General features: G+C 43.9%; 2 protein-coding genes across 21 annotated transcripts in view, besides 1 other annotated feature; one reads left to right on the top strand and one right to left on the bottom strand.

The window, feature by feature from the left end:
- The window catches only part of COL4A6 (collagen type IV alpha 6 chain), a 283,845-nt gene extending 279,383 nt beyond the window's left edge, over nucleotides 1-4,462 (top strand). For all 9 annotated transcript variants that reach the window (XM_047441813.1, NM_001847.4, XM_011530852.3 and 6 more), the window contains 2 exons: nucleotides 328-614; nucleotides 2,816-4,462. In XM_047441813.1, coding sequence (XP_047297769.1) covers nucleotides 328-614; nucleotides 2,816-3,076 — 548 coding nt within the window. In that variant the 3' untranslated portion in view covers nucleotides 3,077-4,462. The remainder of the gene's footprint in view (nucleotides 1-327; nucleotides 615-2,815) is intronic.
- Nucleotides 2,954-3,454: an enhancer, noted in NCBI's record as "H3K4me1 hESC enhancer chrX:107399852-107400352 (GRCh37/hg19 assembly coordinates)". NCBI's record gives its function as "activates a minimal SCP1, AML or CMV promoter by ChIP-STARR-seq in naive H9 embryonic stem cells {active_cell/tissue: H9 hESC(naive)}" and the evidence as "EXISTENCE:reporter gene assay evidence [ECO:0000049][PMID:30033119]".
- Nucleotides 5,405-26,238, bottom strand: part of ATG4A (autophagy related 4A cysteine peptidase) — a 65,843-nt gene continuing 45,009 nt past the window's right edge. For 7 of the 12 annotated variants that reach the window (XM_047441801.1, NM_001321287.2, XM_047441803.1 and 4 more), the window contains 9 exons: nucleotides 25,918-26,019; nucleotides 25,665-25,737; nucleotides 22,906-22,985; nucleotides 22,085-22,272; nucleotides 21,885-21,963; nucleotides 9,779-9,924; nucleotides 8,218-8,274; nucleotides 6,989-7,097; nucleotides 5,405-6,434 (listed from right to left, as the gene is read on the bottom strand). In XM_047441801.1, coding sequence (XP_047297757.1) covers nucleotides 6,364-6,434; nucleotides 6,989-7,097; nucleotides 8,218-8,274; nucleotides 9,779-9,924; nucleotides 21,885-21,963; nucleotides 22,085-22,272; nucleotides 22,906-22,985; nucleotides 25,665-25,737; nucleotides 25,918-26,019 — 905 coding nt within the window. In that variant the 3' untranslated portion in view covers nucleotides 5,405-6,363. Of the gene's footprint in view, nucleotides 6,435-6,988; nucleotides 7,098-8,217; nucleotides 8,275-9,778; nucleotides 9,925-21,884; nucleotides 21,964-21,998; nucleotides 22,273-22,905; nucleotides 22,986-25,660; nucleotides 25,738-25,917; nucleotides 26,020-26,238 lie in introns of all 12 variants that reach the window. The other 5 variants (XM_047441802.1, NM_001321289.2, NM_178270.4 and 2 more) reach the window with 3 other exon arrangements.

Below are 26,238 nucleotides of genomic sequence, written 5' to 3'. Positions count from 1 at the left end.
GATGATTACCTGAGAATTAATTGTTGTCTGCAGGTGTGCTAAATCTTAAAAGCAGACTCAGTCTATTAAACGCTGTTTCTTTCAAAGCAGATTAATTAGGGCAGAATTATACAGCTTATAAAAAGATTCTTGTTATTATCAAATTTCCCTGGTGCATTTAAAATAGAATTTGCTCAACACACTTCAGCACATGTACAATGTTACAGGATTGGAAGGAGAGGGCTGCCTCAGTCTGGTGCAAGTGGTTGGATGTAAACCCAAACCACCATCTCGTCAAAGCCCCTCAGCCAGACCTCCCCTGCCCTTGCCCACTTTCTCTCCTTCCAGGCTTTGCTGGCTCCTGTCTGCCCCGCTTCAGCACCATGCCCTTCATCTACTGCAACATCAACGAGGTGTGCCACTATGCCAGGCGCAATGATAAATCTTACTGGCTCTCCACTACCGCCCCTATCCCCATGATGCCCGTCAGCCAGACCCAGATTCCCCAGTACATCAGCCGCTGCTCTGTGTGTGAGGCACCCTCGCAAGCCATTGCTGTGCACAGCCAGGACATCACCATCCCGCAGTGCCCCCTGGGCTGGCGCAGCCTCTGGATTGGGTACTCTTTCCTCATGGTAAGGTCCTGCACTGTCTCCTCCCCCAGTTGGAGGCAAAGGGCCCCTTGGACTGGTTCCCAGGCTCAAGGGACACCAGGTAGAAAGCATAGAGTTTGAAAAGAAGAGAAATGCTTGGACTGGGCTTGGCTAAAGAATGGAGAACCCAGTTCTGCATGAATGGCAGGTAGTTATGGGTGTAGCGGAAAGACAGCAGTTTGCACCCAGTGGTTCAGGGGCTAGAATATCTGTGAGTCATAGGTCAATGCCCCGCCGTCTCCATGCCCGCTTCAGTTATGCCACACCCAAGGGAAGAGCAAAACACACTAAGATCTGGGAGGACAGTGAGGGAGAGGCTGTCACCACTTGGGGCCAGGACACAGTTTCACTAATCAGTCCAGCCATGGCACTGTCCCCTCTTCTCTCCACCCTCCCAGATCCCTCTGGCCTCTGCTGTCTCCTCCCAAAAGGCTTTGATGAGTGCATGCTGTGTTTATATGTCCTTGCTGGTATTTTTGCTGCCTCTCCATTTCGGTGTGAAGGCAGCGGCCAGCCATGCTGTGTGTCTTGCTAAGAAAAAGAATATCTGCAGGCCCAAAGAGGCATCAAGTCCCTCACATAATATCCTGTGAATACCTGGGGATGTTTCTTCAAATAAAAGGTCAGGTTTAGGGTCAGGACATCCCCCAGAGAAAACCACTGTGGCACCCATTGAAGTACTCTGCCTTGCCAGAGCTTCTCTGTTGAATTGCCAAGGGTGAGATGGTGAGAGAGTGTCTTTAAAAATGACCAAAGCTGCAGGCTCCCCAACATTAGCGTACCTACCTGGGGAAAGGTACTTTTCCTTGTTATGCTGTGTCTTTGGACATTGGATAGTTTATCCCAGTGTAATACAGAATCACCTCACCTGTCCTTCTGTCCTGTCCACCACCCTGACCAGGAAATAAGAAGAGGCCCCTGAGCTTCCACAGGAAATGGTACAAATGCTGTGTACTAAATCTCATGTGCCCTGCTTATGGGAGGGCTCTTAGCCCTTATTCAGAATCTCTTTACTCTTCCTTTACACATTAATTCTAACATACTAGAATATTATTCCTGAAGATATGTAAGGGTGAGAAGTTGGACTGCCTAGCAAGGCATCTTGAAGCAATGAGACATACCTATTAAAAAGGAGAAAATAATTCAAAGGAGGCCCAAGGATTCTACGGGCCGTACCCCTTGGTGTGGGGCTCTTGCATAATCATCCCCCACAAAAACTGACATTCACAATGACAAGCCTGATTCATCTGCAAAGTTTAAAATAACCTAGTGTCTGCTACTTAGCAAAGCAGGAAAATGTGTTGTGCATCTTAGAAAGTTTTTGATTCTCAGGGTCAAAGTGAGGAAAATTTTGATGCTTCGGTTGTCAGGAAAGGTCACCTGAAAGGTCCCATGCAGACTCTCACTCTTGCAAAGTTCTGCAAAGTAAGGAGTCCCTGTGTGCCAACTTGGGCATTTGTCTCATTGGCCATTTGCTGACACGGTTGTGTATTAGGCCTCTTCCCTATCTCCTTGTGGTCCAGATGATAGCCCGGCTAAAGTGAAGAGAAACAGGCAGGAGTGTGGAGAGACAGGAGCTGCTGTCTATGTGAATAGTAACTGAAAACCACCAGCTCATGTGTAGCCCTGAAACTGAATACTGAGAGAGCCCTCTGAGGTGAGGGCCAGGGTATTTGGGCCAAATACAACAAATTAAGGAGAACTTCAGTAGGTTTTGGACTGTCCTTCTTTCCCTTCTTAGAGTACAATGCATGGTTGAGAGAGGGCTCTGAGAACCGCAGTCCAGAAGCCTATTGAATTTTCCTTCACTCAGCTTTTCTCAGATCCATTTGTCCGAGGAAATTTTGCAAGGGGGTACCTAACACACCTCTGAACCCAGTGGGACAGTAGCAGTTTGGGAATTGCTGCTTGACATGTAGTCATTGCCCACATAATGGGTTAGGAGGGCACTAGGGAGCTTGGAAGGGGGCACTCTTGGCCCTGAAAGCTGCTATGAGGGAGGACAAGCAGCCCCTGCCCCTAAAACACAGCTCTTGGTATGCTGGCTTGAACTGGGGGCTGAGACAAGGAACCAGGGCTTAGGAATGGAGCTCATGTGCCCCTGTAGCAGTGGAGCACCCATCCCCTCCCCACACCAACCCTTGGCAGGCACAGCTCATGCACTAATCTCCTGTCTGTTTCAGCACACTGCCGCTGGTGCCGAGGGTGGAGGCCAGTCCCTGGTCTCACCTGGCTCCTGCCTAGAGGACTTTCGGGCCACTCCTTTCATCGAATGCAGTGGTGCCCGAGGCACCTGCCACTACTTTGCAAACAAGTACAGTTTCTGGTTGACCACAGTGGAGGAGAGGCAGCAGTTTGGGGAGTTGCCTGTGTCTGAAACGCTGAAAGCTGGGCAGCTCCACACTCGAGTCAGTCGCTGCCAGGTGTGTATGAAAAGCCTGTAGGGTGGCACCTGCCACTCTGCCCCTTGCCCTCCCCTGCCCCTCACAACAGTCACCTCACAAACCTGAATGGTCTGAAGAAGGAAGGCCTGAGCCCCTTTGCCTGTCAAGTTGTACATTGGAGTCTCATTTGGGCTAGACTACCGGACACTCGTCACCCCAGCCCTCGGGTCCATAGAGATGAGCCCACCCTGCTGAGATCTGCTGTCCTGTTTCTGTCAAGCTGGTGCTACTGTTTGATTTGGATGATTGTGTGACTATTCATGGCTACCTCAGAAAGATTTGATGGGCCACAACTGTCTTAGACTGCTAGCTTTCTCCTTACCGTCTTGATCGGAAAGCTCTTCCTAATCGCTAATCAGTCATTTCTTCATGTACAGAGGTCAGCACACATTATTTGGCTTAAACCAGAACCCAGTGTTTCCACACTTAAATTCTCTAACCGAATATTCATGGATGGCTCAAGTCTGCACAGAGCAAGTCCTCACTCTTCAAGGAGGCCCACTGTGTCTAGGCAGGCAAGAGAATTGAAATGAGGTGCCACCCAGTAGCCCAGAGTGAGCTTTAGCTCTCTCTAGAATGAGCAAGACTGGGCCCCACATGGCTTAGAGAGGCTTGAAGGCCAGCAGCTGGGTTGGGGGTGGTGGTCATTAATGGCATATGGTCCTAGACAAACCATCTCCTCCTTGCCGGCTCCCCCTCCAGCCAGAGACAGAGGATGTGGCCTGGTTCAAAGTAAAGCAGAGGATGCAACAAATGTGGCCAAGCCTATCAAAGGAAATGAGAATGACAGCCTTTTTTCCTGGGCCAGAAGTAGAGGGGTGGGTGCGTAAGGATGTGTGAGTTTTGCTTTTGACTCCAGGAACAAAAAGGTAAATCCCACATCCCAGTTTCTCAGAAGTCCCTGTTTATTCCAAATGCCATCCAGATGTGTGCAATGTGGCAAACTGAAGCTGCACAGTGTTGGTTTCCTTGTATTCTGAGGATGTTAAAGACTTTGTTAAATGGTTATCCAATTGCTCTTTCACAGGTAGCCTATTAAACTATTTTAATATGTTTTTTTAAACCTCATAAAAATCTAGCACACTCTTCTCTTGAGCAGTTAGCAGACCTAAAGCAAGCCTGAATTGGCTATGCAGTACATTGTATTCTGTTTGGGGGAATTTGTTTTAGCCATTTTCTTTAATTACCAGTTTTCCAGAACACTCTTAGCTATGTTGACATGAGGCAGTTCCTTCCAGGTGATTCTGTTTCCTTAAGTATTATATAAACTGTGCCAATACAGACAAAGCATAATCAATATAATCTGAATTATTGTTATCTTTACCTCCTGAGTAATAAGCATGGTGTCAGTTTTGTACATAGCAAATAAAATAAATGAAATCTGAACATGTGACTCTTTTGATGTTCCTTTATGAAAACTTTTCTAATGTCCATCTCACTGCAATTTATGAGTCCCTCTCAGAGCCTGAGAGGTTTCTGCTACTGCCAAGTCGAACTCTGTAACAAAACACTGAGGCAGGAAAAAATTAGAAGATGATCAAAGTCAAAGAGCTGAAACAGTCCTCTAACAAACAGTCAACAAACCCATAAGCTGCTTCAAGATAAGCCTATGCCTGCTTTTATCCCTGTCACACGCTAGAGTTCAACATATCAAAGCATGATGTAGGTTGATAAAAATAAATAAATTTTTTGAATAAAAAAAGAGTTCAAGAAAGGCATTTTCATACTTCTGTGGCCTTAGGATCATTTGTAGATAAAACAAAAGTAGAGAATGTTAAAGTCATTAAAATCAAATCCAAGCTGTGTGTGTATGAGTGTGTGTGTGTATATGTGTGTGTGTGTGTGCATATATTTATATATGTATAAAATATATCCTCTGAGAGGATAAACAAGAAATTAATACCATTGGGAATTTCCAAGGGAGGGAACTGACCTATCGGAGAGAGAGACAAGTCACTGAATATCATTTTACATCTTTTGAATTTTGAACCATTGGAATATACGGGGGGAAAAAGAAAAACATGGAATCTAAGGAAACAAGCAGATTGGTTTGGTGCTAGCTTCCAGTTGCTGGCCTTCCTCGGGACTTGATTAAGGATGGGGGTGAAATGCAGGCAAGTTAAGGAAGCAAGAAAAGGAAAATGAGAAGGTACTGCTGGGGCTTGAGGTTCATCCTCACAGGAAAGTGGTTAGCAAAGCTAATTTGATGAATACATGCTTTAAAACCTATTATGTTGCTAGCCTCAAATGGTTTGGAATTGTATATGATGCACAGATAAAATGTGTAATTCACCACATGAATAATTCTAAATATGGCTGTCAACCAAGTAGGGTATACTTCAAACACAATTTATTTTTAATTTATCAAACAAAAATCAACAATTTAAGTCACTGATTGGCAAGCTACAGCCTGCAGGCCAAACCCAGCCCTCCACCTGCTTTTGTAAATAAAGTTTTCTTGGATTACAGCCACACTCATTTACACGCATATTGTCTATTGCTGCTTTTGCATGTCAACAGCAGAGTTGAGTAGATGTGACAGAGGCCGCATGGCCTGCAAAGCCCAAAATATTTCCCGTCTGGCCCTTTACAGAAAAAGTTTGCTGACCCCTGATTTAAGTGATCATGATTTAAGGACAGGGTGATATCTGACAAAAGTATCAGTAAGAATGGGGACAGTGACCCATCAAATAGTAAGATCCCCGCAAACAGAAGGGAGATCAAGAAGTGTATATTTGACATCGTTTCTTTGACAAACGTTTTGATATAAATTATAATTACTTCAACTACACAATCAAATAATTTAACAAGAACCTTTTCCTCCCTGATTCAGTCACTTTATTATTTGAGCAAGAGAACAGATTGCTGCTTAGTCCAAAAGAGGTCACATCTGAAAGGGTGAAGAACAGCTTAACCATCTCTTATCTGCTGGTTCTTGAAGCAAGCTGAGAGTTGCTGTTTGTCTTCCAGATGCCCATTTCCTCATTGCAGCAGCTGAAGACTTGCTGTAGCCATATAACACAAGCTGGGAAGCAATGAACTCCTCCTCATCTCTCTGCTCCTAGGCTCCATGATTGTTCTATTTCTTTCCGGGGAAGGGTTACTGTCATTTGTTTTGTTTTGTTTTGTTTTTCTGAGAAACAGTGATTGGCTCAGTCATGATTGCTATTGAGTTTGTATGCTATTGGCATATCAGGCACTTGCTGACTAGAAAAGTTTTATGCAATAAGTTCATGTTTTTATGGTGCCAGATGGAAGACAGACCTTCAAGTTGAGTTCCCAGGATTCTACACACTCAGAATCTCAAAATCTTCCTCCAGATCAAACTCCTCCAGTTGCTCAGTAGAGTCAATGAATTCTATCAGAATACGGAAATGAGAAAGAAGAAAAGCTTGACACTTGGGTTGAAGTGGTCAGTAAATACTTTACTCAGTAGTTAAGACTAAGCATTTTTAATTGCTGTACTAAAGAAAGACTTGTGTGGAGGAGACTTACAATTAGAACTACTGCCAAGTATTAGAAATTATCTATAAAGACTCAAAATAGCCAGACTTGTTACATAAACCTAACGACGGTGATGTGGCCAAGGCTCTGAAAGCCCTTCAAGATACCTTTGAATTATCGATGGCCTCAATTTGCTATTCTGAACCAGACCATGAAAAAGCAATCCTAGTCATCTTGATTTTGCATAGAACTTTTGCAATGAGCTCATTTTCTTCTATTATCATTCTTTGAAATTGGTAAATATCAGCTCATCAGAAGATTAAAATAACCAGAAGTGCCATTTTTTTATCACTCCAGCTGAGTAGAAATTTTACTGTCCACAGAAAGCATGGGCCACAATTCTTCTTTCTCATAAAACAACTGCTATATGTGGGTCTGCTAGCTGAGAGCCATTGAACAACAGCTTACCTGCCCCAGTGGTTGTCACTTCTGGCTTGGCTGGAGGTACAAAGGGAGGCCAGTGTGATGGATGTTTCTGAACTAATTCAAACATCCTTAAATTCTCCTTTAGAATTTCCTGGGGAGATGACAAAACAGTTTTAAATACTTCAGAGTCACAACATTTCTAATTGGCAATCTTTGACCCCAAACCCTGAGACAGTGGTCTGCTGGTTTCCAGGTGAAAACAGGGGCCTAGAAAATACATGCATCCTCTACTTGAACCATCTGAAGACTCAGCCATCTTCAATTCTAGATACTGTTTAGCCAGGAAGGAAGGACTTTGCGGGGAGTATCTGATGAAGGCCAGCACTCACTGCCTATTCTCCATCATGAGGCATAGTGCCTGTGCCAGACGCATGGGTCCAGCTCACTTTAGGGGTGACATGTTCCTGAAGCACTGGCTCCAAAGAAATGTCAGTTAGTGAAATTAAATCTGCCCCAAGAGACTATTGCTACATATTGGCATGGTTTCAGTGGCAGTCCAACATGTATGGTATATATCCTAATTTACATGGCATAGTCTTAGCTGGGCACGGTGACTCATGCCTGTAATCCCAGCACTTTGGGAGGCCGAGGTGGGCAGATCACCTGTGGTCAGTTCAAGACCAGCCTGGCCAATGTGGTGAAACCCTGTCTCTACTAAAAATACAAAAATTAGCTGGGCGTGGTGGTGGGCGCCTGTAATCCCAGCTACTCGGGAGGCTGAGGGAGGAGAATCGCTTGAACCTGGAGACGGAGGTTGCAGTGCACCCAGATCCCGCCACTGCACTCCAGCCTGGGTGACGGAGCGAGCCTTTGTCTCAAAAAATAATAAAATAAAATAAAAGGCATAGTCTTATCAGAAAATTCTCATTCCACCTTTAAATGTGACATAAATACAGTTTTGCTGCATTCTAAAATGTAAGTATTGCCTTTAGAAAATAATTGTCTATTAATGAGATAAAACATTAGGTTTCATCACTAAAAATATCACTCCCTTGACATGCTAAGCATATTTCAAACCAAAATTTTTGTTCAGTTTCCCCGAAGTTATGCACAATTCCCCACACCTGATAGTTTCTTTGTTGCCTTAGTTTCTTTCTCTTGCAGTAAAGTCGTATCAGAGTAGGATTTTTTTTTACTATGAAAAACAATCTTGAAAAGGAATAAAATTGGGTAACTTCATTTTTCAGACTAAGAAAAACATATAGCTTTACCTTCTGAACAAGGCTACACCAGTTATCAAAGTCTTTTTCTTCTTTGCAGAAAAATCCCTTGGGGGAAAGCAAAAGAACACAACTTAGAATTACCTTTGGTATTGCACAATGGAGCTGTTGGCCCAGAATTAGGATGTGGGCCAGTCTCTGTGGATGTGACTTCTCAGCAATAAAGAAGGAAGACTGCCTGGGCTTCTCTCTCTCCTAACTCATTGCCTTACTCAGACATACATATCACTCTCTCAGTCTTGCTCTCATTCTCACCCTTGCTCTCTGTCCCTTTCCCTCTTTCCTCATGCTGCGAGATATTTTAACTTGAAGATCATCTTCAAAGTGTAGGGTTAATTCCATTACTTTCAGTGTACAAATACACACATCTCCAAAGAACATTCAATTAAGCCAACAAACAAAAGCCAAATGGTACTTTTAGCTAGAGGCAATACTTAAGAAGATGGCATTGACCTTCAGGAAATTATCTATCAGAATAGAGAGAACCATCAGTCTGTGCTTTCTCAACCTCAAATCCATCCCAGAGTAGTGAAAGAATGGTTCACAAGAGGAGGACTTGCAGCTCCTGGTCACTGGTATACTGACAATTGGATTAAACTAGAGGAGAGGATGCAGACAGGCCTCAGAACCACCAGCTACTTCACAGGCAGATGCCCCTTCAGTGTGTGTAGACACCAGCCATACTTCTGGGGGAAAATCCTGCAGCTTCCTAGATTGTGTGCACCCAGGGCATCTTGCTCCCTTATCTCTCCCTAGTGATATCCCATCTTCCTCCCTGTGCCTGGGTAGCAATAATTTGAGGACAAGAAGGAAACAGGGGAAAGAGTAACTAACATTTATAGAATGCTTACAATGTGCCAGGCCCAGTGCTAAGTGCCTTACATGCATTGCACCTCATACAACCCCATAAGGAACGAACTATTGTTTTCCTCATTTTAGAGATGAGAAGACTGAGGCTCAGAAAGATTAAGTGACTCCTCCTAAGTGCGTAGTTAGTGATACGGTTTGGTGGTGTCCTCACCCAAATCTCATCTTGAATTGTAATAATCCCCACGTGTCAAGGGTGGGACCAGGTAGAGATAACTGAATCATGGGGGTGGTTTCCCCCATACCATCCTTGTGGTAGTGAATAAGTCTTATGAGATCTGATGGTTTTATAAATGGGAGTTCCCCTGCATAAGCTCTCTTGCCTGCCACCATGTAAGACATCCCTTTGCTCTTCCTTCATCTTCCACCATGATTGGGAGTCCTCCCCAGCCATGTGGAACTGTGAGTTAACTAAACATCTTTCCTTTATAAATTACCCAGCCTCAGGTATGTCTTTATCAGCAGTGGGAGAACAGACTAATACAGTTAGTAAGTGGCAGAGCCAAGATTCCAACTGGAGCAGTTTGGCTCCAGGGTCCATTCCTTCCCCACTACACTCTACTGCCTCTAATGGGGATAGTGAGCAAACATACTCTTGCCTTCCTACCTAGCAATCTGGATAACTCCCAGGGAACCAATCTGTACACATCGTATCTCCTGGCCCACCCAACCTACGAATACCCACCAATGCAACTGAAGGATCCAGGTTTAGGATGTTCATTCGCTGTGGGGACTGCAGGCAATGGAAAGTCTGGTCATTAACCGTTCCATTCTCTTCAGTGTCAACAAAGGTCTGGGTTGTATGAGGGTCCAAGAAGATGAGCTCGTCACCTGTTTTGAAGGAGATATGCTTAACCTTCAAAGGATTACCGGTCCTGGCCCACTGCTGTTGTTGGGAGGAGGCACTCTGGTTCTCTTAACCCCTCCCTTGGTGACAATGAGAATGGAATGACAGAAAGCCTGAAGCCAGGGTGAGCATGCTTAAAGGAAGCCACTTGCGCCCAAATCTTATCATTCAATGAGAAGATGTGCCCTAGCATTTACATCTCCTCAAAGTCCAAGTCCCAAAATGGAAAGTGACAGGTTTGAGAAAATGTGGGAATGAGAGACCACAGATGGCATGGCAGGCTCTGTGAGCAGCAGTAGCAAAGAGGCGGTAGGTGGAGTCACCAGGTCGTGGGCCCAGGTACCATTAGGGAGCTTTCTGCCTCTTTTGACATTGGAAAGCATCTCAGGCTAGACTGCTGGTTCTCAGCCCCATGCTCAGAAAGCACCTCTGGTAAGGGAGGAGGTCCTGACCTTCAAAAGAAATGCTGACTTTTTATGGAATGGGAATGCTGACTCTTTATGGATGAGAAACCAGTGAGCTGACTTCTGGTCCTGATTAGCTAGCAAGTTAGTACTTATTAGCAAGTTAGTAAGTTCCTGTCAGAAAGCACTGCCTTTGTCACATTGACATCAGTACAGATACAGCTCACTTGGAAAATTCACTTTGAGATGACTGACCTTGACACAAGAGATATAAGCTATGCTTCATTAAATTGAAAAAGTCTAGCCCCAAAATAACATGGGAGGAGTTTAGGATAATAAAATTTCTGCTTTGACCTGGTATTCAAAGGGCTGACAGTCCCTCTAATGTTCATCAGCCACAGGCTGAGGAGGCAAAAGTGCCTAAGAGGTACCCCAGCCTCACTGTCCGGGCCTGAGGGCCATCTGGTTCTCTGTGTGCTCAGCTATATCAGGCGAGCAAGGAGAGATCTACCTGCTGCCAAAGACTGGGGTAGGGAGGGATGCCCCAAAGACTCCCTCTGGAATGGTATCCAGGATTGTGTTGGGCACATCTACATGTTTCTGTCAGCAAAGAATATGTTCATTTCTGAAGTCTCATGAAAAGTTTAACATTTTTCTGTCATAAACCAAGGACAAACCACTTAATTCACTCTGTCTTAATTTTCTTGTTTTTAAACTAGGGTCATCGGGCCTGTTCTAGTTGCCTCATGGTATATTACAAGGACCAGAAGATTTCACCTCTGTGAAATCCTTAAAACACAATACAAATAGAAAGTGGCCAGAGAAATATTTTACTGCAAATCAACAGTATTTTCCTACAAATGCATGTTTAAGAGTATATAGAAATCAATCCCCCCATATGACTTGCTTTATGAAAGTCAAGGTAGATGTTTTTCCCCTAGACCACAGGTGGGCAAGATCAGTGATACTGAAAAAGCCTCAGATTACACTAAAGAGCAACCAAGATGGCTAGAAGGAAGCCTACCTAAGACCACAGAAAGGTCTGAGGGAAAGGAAGTTGTAGGCAAGAAAACAGAAAGCCAAAACAGGGTTAGAACTGAGTCATCTAATGGGATGTTTGGAGTTAAGGTGTTGAGAATAATAACATCTTCTCTGACTCTGACCAGGACCTTTTCCCATGGGTGGTGTGTGTGTGTGTGTGTGTGTGTGTGTGTATGTGCATGGAGTGGAGCTTTACAAGCTGCATCATTTTTTTTTTTTTTTTGAGACAGGGTCTCCCTCTGTGTGATGGTTAATACTGAGTGTCAACTTGACTGGATTGACAGATGCAAAGTACTGATCCCAGGTGTGTCTGCAAGGGTGTTGCCAAAGGAGATTAACATTGAGTCAGTGGGCTGGGAAAGGCAGACCGGTCCTTAATCTGGGTGGGCACAATCTAACCAGCTGCCAGGGTGGCAAGCAGAAAAATGTGAAAAAGAGAGACAGCCCTAGCCTCCCAGCCTACGTCTTTCTCCCATGCTGGATGCTTCCTGCCCTCAAACATTGGACTCCAAGTTCTTCAGTTTTAGAACTCAGACTGGCTGTCCTTGCTCCTCAGCCTGCAAATGGCCTATTGTGGGACCTTGTGATCATGTGAGTTAATACTTAATAAACTCATATATATATATATATATATATATATATATATATATATATATATATATATATATATTTTCCATTAGTTCTGTCCCTCTAGAGAATCCTGACTGATACAGATTTTGGTACCAGGAGTTGTTCTAGAGGAACAGAATATTAAGGATGAAGTTCTTTCATTGGTTTTGGGGTTTCTGGAGTTGGCTATTTAATATGATTAGACCCAAAAATGCTAAGGACTGTACTTCTAATAGTATAGGGAACACTGATAGTCCTTGGTGTGAACTGTTTAGAGAGTTATGCAAAATAAATGCATTTGACACACCTGAATCATCGCTCGTGAGAGGCAAGGAGTTCAGTGACTATACATAATACAATTGACCATACGTGGAAAACCAAGGAACATAATGAAGCTAGTTGGTTGCTCCTAAGTTCAGTGGACAAAGTCATGAAAGAAAATGATGAACTCAGGGATTCTAGCTCCAGGCTTCAGAAGCAGATATTGAACCTAAAATCTGCTAAGATTGCCCTAAGTGAGAGTCTTATCTCCTGTAGAGAAAGAGCTGAAATTGTGGAAAAACAGACACAAGCTCTTATCATGCGAGTGACTGGCCTCCAACAAAAGGTGCATGCACAGCCTCGCCAGGTGTCTACTGTTAAAGTGAGGGCATTGATTGGAAAAGAATGGGACCCTGCAACTTGGAATGGGAACGTGTGGGAGGACCCTGATGAAGCTGGGGACACTGAGTTTGTAAACTCTGATGAACTTTTTTTGCCAGAAGAAACAGCTTCCCCATCTCCAGTAGTGGCAATATCCCCTCCCCGGCCCATGCTGTCATCAGCCTTTCCACCTTTGACTGAGGAGATAAACCCTGTGCTGCCTGAAGCAACAGTGATGGCCTCCTCTGAGGCAGTTGCCAGGCAAGATAATGTTGATTCTCCTCAGGAGCCACCCCCAACACCCCTGTTTGCTTCCAGACTTCAACTAGACTAAAGTCCTGGTGGGCTCCTGGAGGTGAGGTTGAGAGTGTGACCCATGAGGAGGTGCACTATACTCAAAAATAACTGCTTGAGTTTTCTAATTTATATAAACAGAAACCTGGAGAACAGGCATGGGAACGGATATTAAGGGTGTGGGATAATGGTGGAAAGAACACAGAGTTGGATCAGGCTGAATTTATTGATTTGGGCCCACTATGTTAGAGACTCTGCATTTAATGTTGCAGCTCGGGGAGTTAAAAAAGGTTCTAATAGCTTATTTGCTTGGTTAGCTGAAATATGGATTAAAAGATGGCCCACTGTGAACGAGATGGAAATGCCTGATCTCCCTTGGTTTTATGTAGAGGAAGGGATCCAAAGGCTTAGGGAGATTGGGATGGTGGAGTGGATTAGTCACTTCAGACCTATTCATCCCAGCTGGGAGGGTCCAGAAGATATACCCTTGACCAATGCCTTGCAAAATAGATTTGTGAGGGCAGAACATGCATCTTCGAAGAGTACTGTAATTGCTCTTCTCTGTATGTCAGATCTAACAGTGGGAACTGTATCACTCAACTACAAAATTTAAATATAATGGGAATAATTGGATCCTGAGGTGGCAGGGGCCAAGTGGCAGCACTCAACCATCAAAGGCAAGGTGGGCATAGCTACCGTAATGGACAGCAGAGGCAAAGCAATAGTCTGACTATTGCTTTCAGACTACTGCAATCAGAATAGTCTGACTCGTGTAGAGCTCTGGCATTTGCTAATTAATCATGGTGTTCCTAGAAGTGAAATTGATAGGAAGCCTACTGCATTCCTACTTAATTTATATAAGCAGAAAACTTCTAGGTCGAATGCACAAAAGACTAATTTGAATTACAGAAACAGAGAATCACAGCCCATCAATCAATTTCCAGACTTGAGCCAGTTTACAGACCCAGAACCCCTTGAATGAAGGGGAGGCCGGGTCCCCTTGAGGAAGGACCTCACTATATTACTGACAATTTATGCAGTGAATCGCTCTCCCATCCTTCCCCAAGGAGACCTCCGGCCTTTTAGCAGGGTAACTGTGCATTGGGGGAAGGGAAATGATCAGACATTTCAGGGCCTACTGGACACTGGCTCTGAGCTGACATTGATTCCAGGGAACCCAAAATATCATTGTGGTCCTCCAGTTAAAGTAGGGGCTTATGTAAGTCAGGTAATTAATGGAGTTTTAGTTCAGGTGCAACTTACAATGGGCCCAGTGGGTCCCCAGACTCATCCCGTGGTCATTTCCCCAGTGCCAGAATGCATAATTGGCATAGACATACTTAGCAGCTGGTAGAACCCCTACATTGGCTCCCTGACTGGTAGGGTGAGGGCTATTACAGTGAGAAAGGCCAAATGGAAGCCATTAGAGCTTCCTCTACCTAGGAAAATAGTAAATAAAAAACAATATTGCATCCCTGGAGGGATTGCAGAGATTAGTGCCACCATCAAGGACCTGAAAGACACAGAGGTGGTGATTCCCACCACATCCCAGTTCAACTTTCCCATTTGGCCTGTGCAGAAGACAGATGGATCTTGGAGAATGACAGTGGATTATTGTAAGCTTAACCAAGTGGTGACTCCAATTGCAGCTGCTGTACCAGATGTGGCTTCATTGCTCGAGCAAATTAACACATCTCCTGGTACCTGGTATGCAGCTATTGACTTGGCAAATGCCTTTTTGTCCATTCCTGTCCATGAGGCCCACCAGAAGCAATTTGCCTTCAGCCGGCAAGGCCAGCAATATATCTTTACTGTCCTACCTCAGGGGCATATGAACTCTCCGTCTTTGTGTCATAATCTTATTTGGAGAGACCTTGATCGCTTTTCACTTCCACACTGGTCCATTACATTGATGACATTATGCTGACTGGATCCAGTGAGCAAAAAGTAGCAAACACACTGGACTTATTGGTAAGACATTTGCATGCCAGAGGATGGGAAATAAATCTGACTAAAATTCAGGGACCTTCTACTTCAGTAAAATTTCTAGGGGTCAGTGGTGTGGGGCCTGTCAAGATATTCTTTCTAAGGTGAAGGATAAGTTGCTGCAATTGGCCCCTCCTACAACCAAGAAAGAGGCACAATGCCTTTTGGGCCTATTTGGATTTTGGAGGCAACACATTCCTCATTTGGGTGTGTTACTCTGACCCATTGAAGGGAAATCTTTCCAGTGGGCATAACTTCGAGCAGTGCACCTGGTTGTGCACTTTGCATGGAAGGAGAAACGGCCATATGTGCGATTATATACTAATTCATAGACTATAGTCAATGGTTTGACTGGATGGTCAGGGACTTGGAAGAAGCATGATTGGGAAATTGGTGCCAAATTTGGGGAAGAGGTATGTGGATGGACCTCTCTGAGTGGTCAAAAACTGTGAAGATATTTGTATGCCATGTGAGTACTCACCAATGGGTGACCTCAGGAGAGGAGAATTTTAATAATCAAGTAGATAGGATGACCCATTCTGTGGATACCACTCAGCCTCTTTCCCCAGCCACCCATGTCATCACCCAATGGGCCCATGAACAAAGTGGCCATGGTGGCAGGGATGGAGGTTACACACGGGTTCAGCAACATGGACTTCCACTCACCAAGGCTGACCTGGCTACAGCCCCTGCTGAGTGCCCAATTTGCCAGCAGCAGAGACCAACACTGAGCCCTCAATATAGCACCATTCCTCAGGGTGATCAGCCAGCTACCTGGTGGCAGGTTGATTATACTGGGCTTCTTCCATCACGGAAAGGGCAGAGATTTATCCTCACTGGAATAAACACTTAGTCCACATATGGGTTTACCTATCCTGTATGCAATGCTTCTGCCAAGACTCCCATCCATGGACTCACAGAATGCCTTATCCACCTTCATGGTATTCCACACAGCTCTGACCAAGGCACTCACTTTATGGCTAAGAAAGTGTGGCAGTGGGCTCATTCTCATGGAATTCACTGGTCTTACCATGTTCCCCATCAGCCTTATCCAACATCATGGTATCCCACACAGACTCTGACCAAGGCACTCACTTTATGGCTAAGAAAGTGTGGCAGTGAGCTCATTCTCATGGAATTCACTGGTCTTACCATGTTCCCCATCAGCCTGAAGCAGCTGGATTGATAGAATGGTGGAATTTCATTTTGAAGTTACAATTACAATGCCAACTAGGTGACAATACTTTGTAGGGCTGGGGCAAAGTTTTCCAGAAGGCTGTGTAAGCTCTGAATTAGCATTCAATATATGGTACTCTTTCTCTCATAGCCAGGATTCACAGGTCCAGGAATCAAGGAGTGGAAGTGGAAGTGGCACCACTCACCATCAGCCCCAGTGATCCACCAGCAAAATTTTTGCTTCCTGTTCCCCCGACATTACGTTCTGCTGGCCTAGAGTTCTTAGTTCCAGAGGAAGGAATGCTGCCATCAGGAGACACAACAGTTCCATTAAACTGGAAGTTAAGATTGCCACCTGGACACTTTGGGCTCCTCTTCCCTTTACATCAACAGGCTAATAAGGGAGTTACAGTGTTGGTTGGGGTGACTGACTTGGACTATCAAGATGAAATCAGTCTACTACCCCACAATGGAGGTAAGAAAAAGTATGCATGGAATACAGGAGATCCATTTGGGTGTCTCTTAGTATTACCATGCCCTGTGATTAAGGTCAATGGGAAACTACAACAGCCCAATCCAGGCAGGACTACAAACGGCCCAGACCCTTCAGGAATGAAGGTTTGGGTCACTCCACCAGGAAAAAAAACATGACCTGCTGAAGTGTTTACTGACGGCAAAGGGAATACAGAATAGGTAGTAAAAGTAGGTAGTCATCAATACTAGCTACGACCACGTGACCAGCTACAGAAACGAGGACTGCAATTGTCATGAACATTTCCTCCTTCTTTTGTTAAAAATATGTTTGTGCATGTATACACTTGTACTAAGAAAATATTCTCATTTTATTTCCTTTCTCCTTTATCATGTGACATAAGATTTATTGACTTCACATCAGCATTTAAGTATTATTAAGTTCATGTAATAGTATTTGGGTTGGGGATTGGTGCGTTTCCAGTTGTACGAAGGATAGTTGTATTATGTTAGGCAAATTATGACCTTATTATTGTCTTTATCTGAAGATGATGTATGATCTCAGGATATGTATATGGGTTCAAGTTGACAAGGGGTGGACTTGTGATGGCTAATACTGAGTGTCAACTTGATTGGATTGAAGGAGACAAAGTACTGATCCTGGGTGTGCCTGTGAGGGTGTTGCCAAAGCAGATTAATATTTGAATCAGTGGGCTGGGAAAGGCAGACCCACTCTTAATCAGGTGGGCACAATCTAACCAGCTGCCAGGGTGGCAGGCAGAAAAATGTGAAAAAGAGAGATGGGCCTAGCCTCCCAGCCTACATCTTTCTCCATGCTGGATGCTTCCTGCCCTCAAACATCAGACTCCAAGTTCTTCAGTTTTGGAACTCAGACTGGCTCTCCTTGCTCCTCAGCCTGCAGATGGCCTATTGTGGGACTTTGTGATCATGTGAGTTAATACTTAATAAACTCCCCTTTACATATATATGTGTGTGTGTGTGTGTGTATGTATGTTATATACACACACACACATATATATATTCACACATATATATGTATATATATTCCATTAGTTCTGGCCCTCTAGAGAACCCTGACTAATACAATCTGTCTCCCAGGCTGGAGTGCAGTGGCACAATCTTGGCTCACTGCAGCCTTGACCTCCTGGGCTCAAGCGATCTGCTTGGAAGCGATCCCCATCCCAGCCTTCCAAGTAGCTGGGTCTATAGGCATGCGCCACCACATCCAGCGAATTTTTTGTATTTTTGGTATAGACGGCATTTCACCATGTTGCCCAGGCTGGTCTCGAACTCCTGAGCTCAGGCGATCCACCTGCCTTGGCCTCCTAAAGTGCTGGGATTACAAGTGTGAGCCACTGCGCCTGGCCACAAGCTGCCACAAGCTGCATCATTTCTGAGAGTGCTTATAAGAGATATAGTACACTTAGGATAATGGCCTCCAGCTCCATCCATGTTGCTTCAGAGGACATGATTTCATTACTTTTTATGGCCACATAGTATTCCATGGTGTATATAACACATTTTATTTATCTAATCATCATCCATTGGGGTACAATGCTCAATATTTGGGCGACAGGTATACTAGAAGCCCAATCCACACCATTACACATGTAATAGCCATGTAACAAACAAACACATGTACCTCCTGAATCTGGAACAAAATTTTTTAAAAAAAGATATACAATAGATGTAAAAAGCTCTAGAAATGATCTGGGGACTAAACAAAGGTCTCCAGTGAGACCTGGAGTGAAAAGGCAGGCTGACCAACCACCTGCAGAGACAGGGCTAATGCTATGGATCTCCAGGTGGAAACCTATACCCAAGTGCAAGGAACCAACATCTCCTTCTCTCTAAGCAGGCAAAATTTGAAGGCCAGAGTGTCATCCTGGCCATATCCTCCCACACCTAGAGCTCTCTCAGCTTCCCACTGGGCAGGAGGGCCCTGGGGGAGCAATGGAAGGTGGTAGGTAGAGATGATCAAATTGGGATCGACTCTTGGCTTCACCACTTTCTAACAGAATCACCTTGAAGAAATAACTTTTTAATCTCTCTTAATTTTAGCTCTTAGTTTCACTGCATGTAAAACAGAAATAACAGTCTCTACCTCACAGAAATATTGTGTGTATTCTTGATTAATAATCAAGTAGATAGGATGACCCATTCTGTGGACACCACTCAGCCTTTTTCCTCAGCCACCCGTGTCATCACCCAATGGGCCCATGAACAAAGTGGCCATGGTGGCAGGGATAGAGGTTACACATGGGTTCAGCAACATGGACTTCCACTCACCAAGGCTGACCTGGCTACAGCCCCTGCTGAGTGCCCAATTTGCCAGCAGCACAGACCAACACTGAGCCCTCAATATGGCACCATTCCTTAGTGATATATATATATATATATATATATATATATATATATATGTATATATATACACGTATATATGTATATATATGTATATATGTATATATATGTGTATATATACGTATATATATGTATATATATACGTATATATATGTGTATATATGTGTATATATGTATATATGTGTATATATATGTATATATATGTATATATGTATATGTACATGTAATACTTTGTGTATGTATTTGTATATGTAATACATTATATATATAAAATGTATATGTAATACTTTGTGTATGTATATGTAATACATTTTATATATATTTTATATATACATTTATGTTATATATTTATATATTATTTTATATATACATTTATATATACAATGTATTTTATATATACATTTATTTATATATACAATGTATTTTATATATACATTTATACATTTTATATATTTGTAAAATGTATATAATACTTTGTATATGTATATGTACGTATATGTAATACATTTTATATATATATTTTATATATATAATGTATATATATGTATATATATGTATAAATGTGTGTGTGTGTGTGTGTATATATGTGTAGACAGAGAGATAATATACTTTGCGAAGTCTCTGGAACAGGACAACTATTTAGAAAATGGCAATTTGCATCTCTTCCCTCCCTTCAGACATTCTGCCAATCTGGACCACTCAACCTCAAACAGTAAGGGTGTGAGTCAGAAAAGGGGAGTCAGAGGGACTTAAAGCCCTCAAGTGAAGTTTGCACAAAGGACTTATAAAAGTTAACAGGCAAATGGGCACTATGTGAACCTCTGTCTTGGGGTATTAAAGAACTGAGGATTGCCCACATCTTTTTAATGAGTAGTCAAACTTCACAAAAGCTACTCTGACCCAGTGGCCTCAAGAAACAGGAGGGCTACATCAACTTGGAGAAATTCTCTGTAGGTAACTTGGGATAGGGAGGCCAGGGCACCCAGGAATCACACACACTATTCACTGAGATTCCTCCAAAGTTATTTTCTAATCTGTTTCAAAGCTGTCCTCAAACACTGTTGTGGACTGAATGTTTATGTCTCCCTAAAATTCATATGTTGAAATCCTAACCCCCAGTATGATGGTATTAGGAAGTGGGGTCTTTGGGAGGTGATTTAGTCATGAGGGTGGAGCCCCTATGAATGTATTAGTGCCCTCATAAAAGAGACTCCAGAAAGCTCCTTTGCCTCTTCTACCATTTGAGGACGCAGCAAGAAAACAGCCATCTATGAACCTGGAAGTGGGCTCTCACCAGACACCAAATCTGCCAGTGCCTGGATCTTGGACCTCCAGCCTCCAGAACAGTGAGACATAAATTTCTGTTGTTTATAAAGCCACCTAGTCTATACTATTCTGTTATAGCCGCCTGAAGAGACTAAGTCATGCATGAGCAACTGGAAATCTATTTTTTGCAACATTTTCTTTGAACCCAAATGCTTAGGAACAGAGGGCATCTGATTTTGCAGAACTCCAAACACTAGGTTTTATACTTAGAAAAATAAAAGCCTTTACAGGCTCCACGTTTTCCATTTAGCTGTAATTCTTGGGCTCAACCAATAGATGGCAGCATTAGAGAGAGCAGAGGCAGCTGTGCAATCCCCACGCCCCGCTCCACACCCCCCAACCTAAAGAGAGGAAGAAGGGGCTGGCAAAGGAAATAGGTATTGGGGTAAAGCAAGGTGCAGCCACCTTTCAGTGACTGTCCTATATGCCTGGCTCTTTGATGAACACTTTACTGTAAGATGACAACAGGGCGAGTCAGGCATTAGCCCTATTTTACATAAAAGGAACCTGAGACTGAATATTGATATCTTTTTCCTGAAGTCACACAGCTAGCAAGTGGGGGATTGGCATGCAAAGCCACGTGTGTCTGTTCCCATCCCACCTCACCTCCCTGAATGTCCAAGAGGAGATGTGTTGGGGAGGATAACTAAGGCCATCTCCACCCTGTCCTTTGCACGTGCCCTCATGCCATTCCCTTGTAACTCCTGTAGCTCTCCTTTGTCTGTCAACCAATCTGACCTCATAACTTTCCTGAGGCCAAGTCTCAGACCATTCCACCCCTGCAACAGGTGTCCTGTACCAACTTTTCCTGGCCACATCACTCTCTAACTTATGCTCTTCAACACTAACCAGGTGTTTAGGCCCTGGGTATGCAAAGTGTGGTCTGTGGACCAGCAGCATCAGCACCACCTAGTTAGAAATGCAGAAACTCAGGCCGCACCCAAGACCTACTGAACCTGCACTCCAATAGGCTCTCAAGGTGATTCATGTGCATGCTAAAGCTTCAGAAGCACTAGGCTAGCTTACCTTGTGTACCAAGGACCTCAGATGTCTCTGGTCACAGCTAGTGAGTAAAGAGACTGGGTTTCCAGAGGTGCCTTCCTATGCAGGGAATGTTGGGTTGCTTGCTCGGGTCCACATTAAGAGGTTAGTGGTTTTAAGGCTTAGCCCCCATTCTCGGGAAAGGGGTACTTCTGTCTTTGCCTCCTCCAATTCCCAACCTGTCACAGCTCTGAACAATGAGCCAGCAGGCCCTAATAAGAGAGATATTGGCAAAGCCAAGGGATTGAAATTCCACCACCCTGGGCCCCACAGGCAGGAGAGAGACATGCTGGAGCAATGCTATGACCTTGGGGCTATCCAGTGGGAAAGCAATGGAACCATCTTATCAAGAAGCAAGGAAGGCATTGAAATTGGACCTGCTTTCCATCAGGCACACAGAAACATCACTCTCCATCAGTTAGGCCGGAGACAGAAGGAGCTGACCAGAGGCCACGGCATTCCTGGGCTAGACGGGAACCCACTAACTGGAATTGCCTGGTCTCCCATGCAAACCTTGTCCCCACGCCCTCCCCTAGCCCACGATGACTTACTTGTGATTCCTCCTTTCTTACCTAAGAATCCTATGAAATAATACGCGTTATTTGGTTTTCCTCCTAATGCCCCTAAAGACTGTGGCATCTTAAAACACTCCTGGAGAGAAAGACAATGCAAGATTCTCAACTCACTTGTGGACTGCTGCTCACGGATCTCTGTGCTGAGATGGCGGTGTGATGGGCAGGCAGCAATGGGCTCAGGGAAAGAAGTGACTTACTTTGAATGCATCAACATAGACAGGATTGATTTGGTTTATGCCCAGGCGAAGGGGCACAATGAGCAGCAGGGGTTTCCAGGCTGAGCAGTAGGCAGAGGTGCCCTTACTCTGGTTTGAAGCAGTTAAAGAATCGGGAGGCCTGTCACCAGCTGTGTCAGCACTCAAGGGAAGGACACGGCACATTTTTTCTAGAAATGGAAGAACAGAATATTGGATAAGTAAGGAGTCTTCAGCCCTAGAAGATATTCCAATATCAAAACTAAGGGGAACCTCACATGCCCCCCACCCTGCCTAGAAGGCCCTCTCCTCTGCCACCAGGGCTCAGCTGACTCCCCGCCTGCACAAAGCCCAGGCCATTCCTCTAGGGCTCATGCTCTTCATTCTGGCCACTGGGTACTTGTTTAGCTCCCAATAGGGATTCTGGGCTTATTGGAAGAATCTCATTTCTCAAGTCTGCCAGGGCCTTTGAGACAGGGACTGTATCTTTAGGTTGCTCTCACTCCTCAGTGCAGGAATCACACGCCTGGACAAGGGTGAGCCTCCATGAAAGATCTGTTGGTGGTTGAATAAATTATTATACACACTTTGTGTTTTCTGCAGGGAAGGAGTGTGGTACCTCACTGAGGAGGAGCAAGGCCCCTCTAATGGTGTTCTCCCTCTCAGAAAGCTGAAAAGAAAGAGAATCAGAGCCCTGTGCTCCCCTAAGCTCCCCTGCCCTGGTGGGGAAGACCAGAGAGACTCTCTTGAGCCCCAGAATACTGAATGGTGAGGGAGGAACTCATCACCCATCAGCTGGGAAGTTAAACAGGCTGGTAACTCACTGATATCTTCAATGACCACTGTGTTATCCATTGAAACATAAACAGCCAAGGAATTCCATTCGTCAAATAAAGCAAGTTTTCTGCAAAGCAATGTATAATGAAGTCACAATTTGGGAAGATGGAAATATCAGCAGAAAACAGTACAATTTATGCCCAGTGTTCCTAAAGTCACCAAACACTGAGCCATAGAAAAGCTGGTGTTCAGGTCAGCTCTGGCTTCTTTGCCAGAGCTCTGGGATGCTCCATGTCTAGAGACCTTGAGAATGCCACAGAGTCACTGTATCTGAACCTCAAAAAGAAGTTTCTGCTTTACAACCTGGAGAAGTCTACTTCACAAAATGACGGGACACCTACTGGGGAAAAAAGAAAAGTTACCCATGCATCTGCTCTCAAAGTCCCAAGAGACTTTGTTTTCTTAAATAAAAGACATTCTGACTTACTGAATTTTTATTTTACAAAAGGGAAACTGTAAAAAAACTTTTAAAAAGGAAGCTGTCCGTAAAAAATAGATATTTGTTTGGGATCATAGATAATATGGAGAATATGTTCCAGGTAAACCCAGAGATAGAGACAGTGGGTGGAGGGGAAAGAGAGAGAGAGATTACTTCCACTGTTCCCCAGCTGCCCTGAGAGTGCCTCTCAAGTGACATAGGCTGCAGATTGACTCGGGTGCCAAGCTTTACTGGTCAGCAGCTGAAGAGAGCCACCATGCTGAACTGTAGGACTTTATGGTGTATTAGAAAGAAAACCCCTTTAAAAGAGAGATGATCTGAAGTCTATGTAAAGTACCCTGCCTATTTCTCCCTTTCCTTCTTCTTTCCTTGCCAGTTAAGTAAGGCCATGTTTAACCCGGCTACGTCTGGGATGTGTGGGTAAAACCCAGTCTCACTGGACCAAAGAAAACACATTCTCTCTACCAGGTAGCTCCCAGAAAGAGGTTAACTACCATCACCCTTGTATTTCATTCATTTTGATGTATTATCTTTCCCCAGAATAATAACAATAATATAATAATAATAATAATATGTTGTTGTTAATGCTAATGATCATGATGAATTGGAACCCATTTACATTCTTTAAAAAAATCTACACCAGGCGTGGTGGCTCACGCCTGTAATCCCAGCACTTTGGGAGGTTGAGACGGGTGGATCACGAGGTCAGAAGTTCGAGACCAGCCTGGCTAACATGGTGAAACTCCATCTCTACTAAAAATACAAAAATTAGCTGGGTGTGGTAGCAGCCACCTGTAATCCCAGCTACTCGGGAGGCTGAGACAGGAGAATGCTTGACCCTGGGAGGTGGAGGTTGCAGTGAGCGGAGATTGTGCCACTGCACTCCAGCCTGGGCGACAGAGTGAGACTCTGTCCTAAAAAAAAAAAAAAAATCTAGGTTTCCACTTTGTTGTTGGTAATCTTAAAATTTAGAAGAAAGAAGCAAATTCTGAGGGATGTTATTTTAACACCAACCATTTCAAGCCGAGTTTTGGGCTCAGCACAGCCATTCTAATATCTTATACTTTCCACACTACGTTCATACAGTGATTCCTGAAATCCTACCAGATTTTCACTCAGCAGAGTCAGCGATGCCCAGAAGGCACTCTGACTATGGCAAGAGAGCAGCCTCAGAGAGGTTACATTGTTAGGAAGGAGTAAAGTCAATACAGATTTTCCTTGGGTCCCCAAAAAATCCAGGCCACTGTCCTCACAGACACATTCCCAAAGCATTCTAGTTCACTGAAGACTGGTTAGTAATGGAAACAGGGTCCTGTCTGTACTTTGCATGGAACAGGTTCCCCCATAATGCCCAGGAGCTTAATATTCTACACCAAAGGAGGCCAGAAGGTTTCAATCTTCTGATCCCTAAATCTGGCCTCAGATTCTGGCGGCCATTTTCATGTATTCATCGAGCACTTATTGAGTACTTATGCATGCCAGGCAGTTCTATGTGCTAGTGTTACAGAGTGAACAAGATAAATACAATCTCTGCCCTCATGGAGTTTCCATCCAGTGATAGGTTGTTAGGAAGGAGAGTGACAACAGGTAAGGTGGTCTGCAGGTGTAAGTACTAACATCACTCACCCTGTTTGCTTTCAAAAAGTTGGTCCTGACCTCTCCACCTTGCCTCTTGCTGTGGGAGGTGAATTCTGGAATTTAACAAGACAACTGGAAAAATACCACACTGGGACACCTTGAGTCTGCTATGAGATGACAAACTGATTCCAAGACTTCCCTGGGGTTTGTCGCCCCCAACAGGTGGTGAGTTCCTTGAGGCAAGGACTGTGTCAAGTTTATTTCTGCACCCCCAGAACTTAGCACAGTAAAGGTACACAGAAAATGCTGAATGAACAGGGTTTTTAAATATTATGTAGTGCATGTGGGAGCCCTGTGGGGGTCCATTTCTTGCTTAGGCTGGCTTAGCCTCTACCACTTAGTATGAAACTTTTGGCTTCAAAGGGACCCTCAGGCCAATGGCTCCCAGGCACATGAGCATCAATCTGTAGCATGAGACACTGAATGAGTCCTAGGATACAGCCACATATACTGCTACCAGTGAATATAACTCTGATACACCAACACAGATATCCATGCTTACACATTTCAAAGAGCCATCTGAGCAAAATGGCAGATATTTGATGGTTTAGTGGGAGGAGTAGCTTAGCGGGATTGCAAGAATACCTCGGTTGATGGGAGGTTTAGTTGTCTAGGGAGGGAAGCATAGGAGACAGCAGAATAAGGCAGATGCCAGACTCTTTTACTTACTTTAACACCTGTGCAACTGTATTTGGTCCAAACCATTCTCCAATTGATTTCCCTTCTCCTACACCCATTTGTGCTGTTTTTAATGTGGAAAAAAATAACATGTTAGCAAAAGATCTTCCAATAAGCCACAAAATCTTAATTTTTTGCATAAATAATTAAGCAGATGGACAACTTAATGGAGCCACATATAAGGCAAGGGAAGAGAAGGAACAGGAATAGGCACTGCCTTTAAACTATTGATTTATGACCTTACCCATTTGATGGATAGAGTAGCAACAATCTTTTCTATCTAAGAAGCACTGTAGGATGCGTTGGTATTCTTTGGGTTGTTCTTTTTGTTTCTCCCAGCTCCAGTCTTTTTAAGAAAAAAAAATGGGTTAGAAACATTTTTATAACTGTTTATTCCTCTCTGCACTTTTATTGTAACTACAAAGTTAGAAGAAAAACAAAGGCACCACATCTAGAAGGCAGGGATGACCAAGTTAGAACATTTCTAAGTATCTTTCATTTTGATGACAAAGACATCTGGAAAGTGATTGCTTTCAAGGACTCAGTGGGTATAAAGTAAAAGCAA

Source organism: Homo sapiens, chromosome X (assembly GCF_000001405.40).
Source record: "Homo sapiens chromosome X, GRCh38.p14 Primary Assembly".
Taxonomy (NCBI): Eukaryota; Metazoa; Chordata; class Mammalia; order Primates; family Hominidae; genus Homo; species Homo sapiens.
The sequence above is the reverse complement of the archived record's forward strand: the minus strand, read 5'-3'. Positions and strand labels throughout refer to the sequence as shown.